General features: G+C 54.6%; 1 protein-coding gene across 70 annotated transcripts in view, besides 1 other annotated feature; it reads right to left on the bottom strand.

Moving 5' to 3' along the window:
• Nucleotides 1,527–2,136: an enhancer, noted in NCBI's record as "H3K27ac-H3K4me1 hESC enhancer chr8:21943692-21944301 (GRCh37/hg19 assembly coordinates)". NCBI's record gives its function as "activates a minimal SCP1, AML or CMV promoter by ChIP-STARR-seq in primed H9 embryonic stem cells {active_cell/tissue: H9 hESC(primed)}" and the evidence as "EXISTENCE:reporter gene assay evidence [ECO:0000049][PMID:30033119]".
• DMTN (dematin actin binding protein) overlaps nt 5,792–7,655 on the bottom strand; it is a 33,595-nt gene continuing 31,731 nt past the window's right edge. For 43 of the 70 annotated variants that reach the window (NM_001387727.1, NM_001323397.2, NM_001323382.2 and 40 more), the window contains 3 exons: nt 7,447–7,512; nt 7,124–7,204; nt 5,792–6,967 (listed from right to left, as the gene is read on the bottom strand). In NM_001387727.1, the coding sequence (NP_001374656.1) occupies nt 6,854–6,967; nt 7,124–7,204; nt 7,447–7,512 (261 nt within the window). In that variant the 3' untranslated portion in view covers nt 5,792–6,853. The remainder of the gene's footprint in view (nt 6,968–7,123; nt 7,205–7,446; nt 7,513–7,655) is intronic. The other 27 variants (NM_001387726.1, XM_047421502.1, XM_047421510.1 and 24 more) reach the window with 1 other exon arrangement.

Raw genomic sequence — 7,655 nt, 5'->3', positions numbered from 1 at the left:
ACATGGTGAAAACCCGTCTCTACTAAAAATACAAAAAAATTAGCCAAGCGTGGTGGTATGTGGAGGCTAAGGTGGGAGAATCACTTGAACCCGAGAGGCAGAGGTTGCAGTGAGCCAAGATCGTGCCAGTGCACTCCAGCCCGGGCAACAGAGTGAGACCGTCTCAAAAAAAAAAAAAAAAAAAAAAAAGTCTGCAGCTGAGTGTGGTGGCTCAAGCCTGAAATCCTAGCACTTTAGGAGGCCAAGGCTGTTGACCAGCCTGGGCAACATATGAAGATCCTGTCTTGACAAAAAATAAAAATACAAAATAACCAGGTGTGGTGGTATGTGCCTGTAGTCCAAGCTGCTCGGGAGACTGAGGTGGGAGGAGGATCACTTGAACCCAGGAGTTCGAGGCTGCAATGAGCTATGATCGTGCCCCTGCAGTCCAGACTGGGTGACAGCAAAATAGTGTCTCTCTAAGAAACAAAAACCAGTGTCTCTGCTTATCACTGACATCATATTGTGTCCGGAATTGGTAGGTTCATTGGTCTCACTGACTTCAAGAATGAAGCTGTAGACCCTTGCAGGGAGTGTTACAGCTCTTAAGGTGGCACGTCTGGAGTTTGCTCTGATGTTCGGATGTGTTTGGACTTTCTTCCTTCTAGTGGGTTCGATGGTCTCGCTGGCTTAGGGGTGAAGCTGCAGACCCTCGCGGTGAGTGCTACAGCTCTTAAGGCGGCGCGTCTGGAGTTTTTAGTTCCGCCTGTTGGGTTCGTGGTCTCGCTGACTTCAGGAGTGAAGCTGCACACCTTTGCCGTCAGTGTTACAGCTCACAAAAGCAGTGGGAAACCCAAAGAACGAACAGCAGCAACTTATTGCAAAAAGTGAAAGAAAAAAACTTCCACAGTGTGGAAAGGAACCCAAGCGAGTTGCCACTGCTACCTTGGGCAGCCTGCTTTTATTCTCTTATCTGGCCCCACCCTCATCCTGCTGATTGGTAGAGCCCAGTGGTCTGTTTTGACAGGGCGCTGATTGGTGCGTTTACAATCCCTGAGCTAGACACAAAGGTTCTCCACGTCCCCATCAGATTAACTAGATGCAGAGTGTTGACACAAAGGTTCTCCAAGGCCCCACCAGAGCAGCTAGACACAGAGTGTCGATTGGTGCACTCACAAACCCTGAGCTAGACACACGGTGCTGATTGGTGTGTTTACAAACCTTGAGCTAGATACAGAGTGCCCATTGGTGTATTTACAATCCCTGGGCTAGACATAAAGGTTCTCCACGTCCCCACCAGACTCAGGAGCCCAGCTGGCTTCACCGAGTGGATCCCGCACCGGGGCTGCAGGTGGAGCTGCCTGCCAGTCCCGCGCCGTGCTCCCGCGCCGTGCGCCCGCACTCCTCAGCCCTTGGGTGGTCGATGGGACTGGGCGCCCTGGAGCAGGGGGCGGCGCTCGTCGGGGAGGCTCCGGCCGCACAGGAGCCCACGGAGCGGGTGGGAGGCTCCGGTATGGGCGGGCTTCAGGTCCCGAGCGCTGCCCCGCGGGAAGGCAGCTAAGGCCCGGTGAGAAATCGAGCGCAGCGCCGGTGGGCTGGCACTGCTGGGGGACCCAGTACACCCTCCGCAGCTGCTGGCCCGGGTGCTAAGCCCCTCATTGCCCGGGGCCTGCAGGGCCGGCCGGCTGCTCCGAGTGCGGGGCCCGCCAAGCCCAAGCCCACCCGGAACTCCAGCTGGCCCGCAATCGCCGCGCGCAGCCCCGGTTCCCGTTCGTGCCTTTCCCTCCACACCTCCCTACAAGCTGAGGGAGCCGGCTCCGGCCTTGGCCAGCCCAGAAAGGGGCTCCCAAAGTGCAGCGGTGGGCTGAAGGGCTCCTCAAGTGCCGCCAAAGTGGGAACCCAGGCAGAGGAGGCGCCGAGAGCGCTGTGAGGACTGCCAGCACGCTGTCACCTCTCAATATGACGAGAGGGAAAGGAATCAGTTTCCCTCGGGAAGGAAGAATAGCCCCTGTCAGAATTATAGAACCTAGAGTTTTGGGGTCTCGGGCTTCACAGGACCTGCCTCACCTTTTAGGACCCATTCCCCAGTGGGGCTGAGGCACAGGAAATGCTGACCTGCCCAGAGTGGGCTCTGTGCTGTGGTGTGGAGCCTGCAGTCCAGACTCTGAGCCAGGGTGGCCAGTGTCTGGGCCTCAGGCCCTGAGGAGGGCCAGGGTTCAGCCAAGCCCAGGCTGAGTGAGAATTGATTGGGACCTCAGTTCTCTGACAGGTGGGAGTTCCAATTCAGTCTCTGCAGATTTCTAGGCCCACCTCCTCACAGGTAAAGGACCCAGGCTGGATAGGTCAAATCAGCTTGCTTCCCTTCAGCATGTCTCAGAGGACTCTAGGGGATAATGAAAGTACATCAGGAGTTCATAACCTTTTATTCGACTTAACTTTTTACATGTTATTTTTAAAACTCTAATAAAAGTCAGTGTACACACTACATGTGTTATAGTCCAGAAATATCAAAGACCATGAGGTTTTATTAAATTCTGAGGCCAGGTTAGCCCATTTAGGGGAAGACCTTTGAAAAAAGCCTCTCCTATCAGCTTAAATGAAGAGTTGAAGATGATTTCACGGTAAACTGAGTTTTATGTATTCTTTTTTTTTTTTTTTTTTTGAGGAGTCTCGCTCTGTCGCCCAGGCTGGAGTGCAGTGGTACAATCTTGGTTCACTGCAAGCTCTGCCTCCTGGGTTCACGCCATTCTCCTGCCTCAGCCTCCCAAATAGCTGGGCCTACAGGTGCCCGCCACCACGCCCGGCTAATTTTTTGTATTTTTAGTAGAGACAGGGTTTCACCGTGTTAGCCAAGATGGTCTGGATCTCCTGACCTCGTGATCTGCCCACCTTGACCTCCCAAAATGCTGGGATTACAGACGTGAGCCACCACGCCCAGCCCCTATGTATTCATTTTTTTTTTTTAGATGGGGTCTTGCTATGTTTCCCAGGCTGGTCTCAAACTCTTGACCTCAAGTGATCTTCCTGCCTCAGCCTCCCGAGTAACACGGGTAAGCTGCTTTAAACATGCAAGGCATGAAGGCCAGATTCAAGGAGAAGGCCATATGGCTGGGTGCGGTGGCTCATGCCTGTAATCCCAGCACTTTGGGAGGCCAAAGCAGACAGATCACCTGAGGTAGGAGTTTGAGACCAGCCTGGCCAGCATGGTGAAAACCCCATCTCTACGAAAAATGTAAAAAATTAGCCGGGCGTGGTGGTGGGCACCTGTAGTTCCAGCTATTTGGGAGGCTGAGGCAGGAGAATCGCTTGAACTCAGGAGGTGGAGGTTGCAGTGAGTTGACATTGCACCATTGCACTCCAGCCTGGGTGACAAGAGAGAAACTCTGACTCAAAAAAAAAAAAAAAAAAAAAGCCATATAGTCAATGACTCTCAATGTGAAATAATTTGCTCATGCTTTAATTTTTTCATTTTTTATTTATTTATGTGTGTGTTGTGGGGAGGAGGCACTGAGAGGCTCTTCCTAAGGCTTTGTTTTAGGGACAAAGAGCTCCAGTCTGAGCTGCTCTAATTTTTTTTTTTTTTTAATTTTAGTAGAGATGGGTTTTCACCATGCTGGCCAGGCTGGTCTCAAACTCCTGACCTCAGGTGATCCACCTGCCTTGGCCTCCCAGAGTGCTGGGATTACAGGGGTGAGCCACCGCGCCCAGCCTTCTTTTTTTTTTTTTTTTCCATAGGTTATTGGAGAACAGGTGGTGTTTGGTTACATGAATAAGTTCTTCAGTGATGATTTGTGAGATATTGGTGCACCCATCACCCGAGCGGTATACACTGCACCCAATTTGTAGTCTTTTATCCCTCGCCCCTTTCCCACCCTTTCCCCCTGAGTCCCCAGAGTCCATCGTGGGTTTTTTGTTTGTTTTTTTGTGACAGAGTCTTGCTCTGTAGCCCAGGCTGGAGTGCAGTGGCACGACCTCGGCCTACTGCAACCTCTGCCTCCCAGGTTCAAGCGATTCTCATGCCTCAGCCTCCTGAGTAGCTCGGATTACAGGCGTGTGCCACCATGCCCAGCTAATTTTGTGTATGTTTAGTAGAGACGGGGTTTCGCCATGTTGCCCAGGCTGGTCTCAAACTTCTGAGCTTAGGCAATCCTCCCGCCTCGGCCTCCCAAAGTGCTGGGATTACAGGCTTAAGCCACTGCGCCTGGTCCCTTGTGACGTTCTTATGCCTTTGCGACCTCATAGCTTAGCTCCCACTTATGAGTGAGAACATATGATGTTTGGTTTTCCACTCCTGAGTTACTTCACTTAGAATAATAGTCTCCAGTGCCATCCAGGTTGCTGTGAATACCATTAGTTCATTCCTTTTTATGGCTGAGTAATATCCCATCATGTATATGCTCTAAATTCTCATGAATTGAAAATCCTTTGGGACCTAGGGTCAAACCTGCCCGTACTACATACAGTTCCCAAACCCTGTCTCCAGCACCCCTTAGGGTTCAATGACCTTGACATTTTCCCGAACAGCCTGGGAGCTCTTTTTGGACAACGGGCACGTCAACCTGGTCACTGCTGTGTTCCCCATGCTCAGAGCAGGGTTAAGCCCCCCAGCAGTTTCTGAATGCCTTGTATTGGGTATGTGTGCAGAGCCCATTTCTTTCTGCCCCTCCTAGTCTGCCCTCCTCTGCTTCTCCTTCACAGACAACAGTACCTATTGGGAAAGTCCTAGAAACCTGAATCCTGTCACCACTCTCCACTCATTGGTTTCCTGTAGCTCTGGGCTTCAGAGGAATTGTCTCTGTCCCACCATTTTCTCATTTGCTAAGAAGATGACAGTGATCTGTTCTGTTGACCTCATAGGTTTGCTGAAGGGATAAAATGATGTTGTGGATGCAACAGAACTCCTACAATGTAAAATAATCGTTCACATTTGAGGGGTTCTTATCCACTTTGCTTATTTCAGCCACAGGGGCTAGGAACTCAACCAGGGTACTCAGGCTAGGCCCCAGCTCCAGTCGCAGGTTCACAAGTTGCGCACCCTCCAACTCACCTGGTCCCTCTGACTGCACGCCTCTTCATGTGCCCACACATGGTTCTGCTCCAGCCAGGTGGGGCTGGCCCCTCCCCACGTAAGCACCCACACCTGCAGGCAGTCCTCCTTCTGGTCTTCCCGTCAGATCCGCAGCCCCTCTCCCACCTCCCACCCGCAACACGCAATTCCCTGTCTTTTCCCCTTGGGAGGCCTTACCAAGTCAACCAAGACCAAATTCCCATCTTCCTCCCTTGGCCTCCACTTGACTCGTCCTCCAACTGCCATTTCTCCATTCCTTAGTTTCCCCTGCCTGATTCTTGGCAATCAGCTCACCACACACTCACATCCTGCTGACCTTTTCTGTGTTCGGCCTCCCCATTGAACCATGAGCACCCTGCCCCTTGGGAGGGACAACCATGTCTGATGTTGAGCTTGGCTACCAAGGCGAGCACGTTGGGATTTGGTGGAGGGCTGGGGCAGTCTTTCCTCCCAGCCAGTTCTCTACCAGCCTCCTCCCTGAGGTGTGAGTTCCCTCTGGCCCCAAACACAAGGGTTCCTGCCCCCATCACAGAGTCCCTGAAGGAGAGGCAGACAGGCCCCTGTCTAGACAGCCCCTGCTTCTGTGGCCCAGGCTTGGGGGAAAGAGTACTGCGGGGCTGTGTCTCCAGCCCTCCAGCCCTAGGCGGCCCCTGCATTGGAACCCTTGCTCCCAGGGCTTCCCTCTGCCTGATATGGCTTGTCTCGTTCACCCAGGTCTGGTGGCTCATAAGGAAAAGACAGATGTAGGGACCCAATGCAACCTTTTAATTCCAAGCAGAGTCCCCCTCCCCCAGCATGGTCACACACACAGTGGAAAGGGATGTCAGGGTCTGGGCAGGAGCAATACCCAGACCTGGGCAAAAATATAGATATCATTATATACACACGTGGACTGGAAAGAAGTCAAGCTGGGGGTGTAAGGTAGGGCAGGGGCAGGTGAGGAAAGCAGCTGGGGGGGCCCCAATAAATTACATTCTTGAGAGAGCATAGTGTGTGGGGGGGTGCGTGGGTGTAGGTGAGAGCTGGTAGCCAGGACACTCCAAAATGTGCCAGGCCTGGCCTCTTGACCCCATCCAAGGGAGGCGGAAGGCCCAGCTTCTGCCCGGTGCCTGGCTTAGTGCTGGAATTCCCATTTCGTGGCCTGGAGGCAGGTGGAGGGCCAGGATCGTGTGTAGGCGGCATCTCCACCCTAAGCCCAGGCTTCTGGGGAAGCCGCAGGGCTGGAGCAAAAGGCTTGGAAGCTCGGGGTTTGCGAGCGGAGGTCAGGGCAAGCTGAAGTGGAGGGGTGACCTCCCTGCCGGAGGCTGAGCTGGGGCCTGTTCCCACTAGAGTCAGAGGAGCAGGAGGCTGCAGTGCAGGAAAGCTGTCAGGAGTGAGTATGGGAGGGCTGGGTGGGCGACACAAGAGCCTGGAGCTCTTTCTGCCTGGCCGCTTCCCACCCCTGCATCTTCCCTCCAGCTGTTCAAGACAGCCAACCGGCCTAACCACCAATGCCCCTCATTCCTCCTCACCCTCTGGGGTGAGGGGCAGGGAGAGGGCGCAAACATGAACTCTGTGTGCCAGAGCCCAGACTGGCTTTGCCCTGTGCAGGGAGGGCCAGGGACGAGAGCAGGAGGCCCCCAGCCTTGTGAGGGGGAAGAAAGTCCATAGCTCACTGCCGGGGACTGCAGAGGTTTTGGCCCCCCACTCTACCTGAGGAAAGGAGCCCACCCTATTTCCACCCCACCTCCTGCCCCTCCCAACCCGCCGGGGAAAAACCCTGAAGCAGCAGGGGTAAGGGGGCCGTCCCGGAGCAGGTGGGGGCCATCAGAAGAGAGAGGCCTTCTTCTTGAGCTCATTCCGCTTCCACAGAGCCAGCTTGCCAAACTCTTCAGGGGACATGGCAAATACCCTTGAGAAGTCCTCGGCAGACAGATGCCTCTACATGGGGGAATCGGGGCAGCTCAGCATGGAGGGGGAGGGGGCTGTGCCCAGTGACCTAGGGGACACTCACTCATAGAGGCCCCAGATCTTCCCCCAGGCAGGAGAGTGCCCGTGGACAGCCCCGCACCCATCCAGGGCATCTTCCTTGCCTACCTCAAGCCGCATCCGATCCACCCCCGGTGGCAGCTTGGTTCGCCCCTTGTTGGTCACCACTAGCATTTCATAGGGATAGATCTGGGGGTGGGGGGAGGGGCAATCTTAGGCTCACAGAATATCCTGTCCTTCGACTCCCTAGGCCTCCCACATCAACCTGCAGAGGCCACTGGGGTTCATGCCATCTTGCCCTCTGTCTCCCCCAACTTCCCTGCCATCCCTCCCATCTTCAACACCAGGAAGACCCCGCAGCACATTCCACTTGCCTGGCATCTCCCCAGCCTCCCGCCCCGCTACAGGCGCTTGTGTCCCCTGCCCCTCACCTTCTGCTCCAGCACACAGGGCAGGGAGTTCCCCCGGTCCATCCTCCCCCTCTGGCCCTCTCCGTTCTGGGGAGACCAAAGCCGCAGTGAGCCAGAGCGGGGCAGGGAGACCTTCCCAGCCTTACCCCGGCTTCTTCTTCTTCACCAGGCAACTCTGTGGCCCCACACCCCCCTTCCCCTGACACTTTCGGGTGCCAGGACCCAGCTTC

This window comes from Homo sapiens, chromosome 8 (genome assembly GCF_000001405.40).
Source record: "Homo sapiens chromosome 8, GRCh38.p14 Primary Assembly".
Classification (NCBI taxonomy): Eukaryota; Metazoa; Chordata; class Mammalia; order Primates; family Hominidae; genus Homo; species Homo sapiens.
This window is presented reverse-complemented; position numbering and strand designations above follow the sequence as displayed.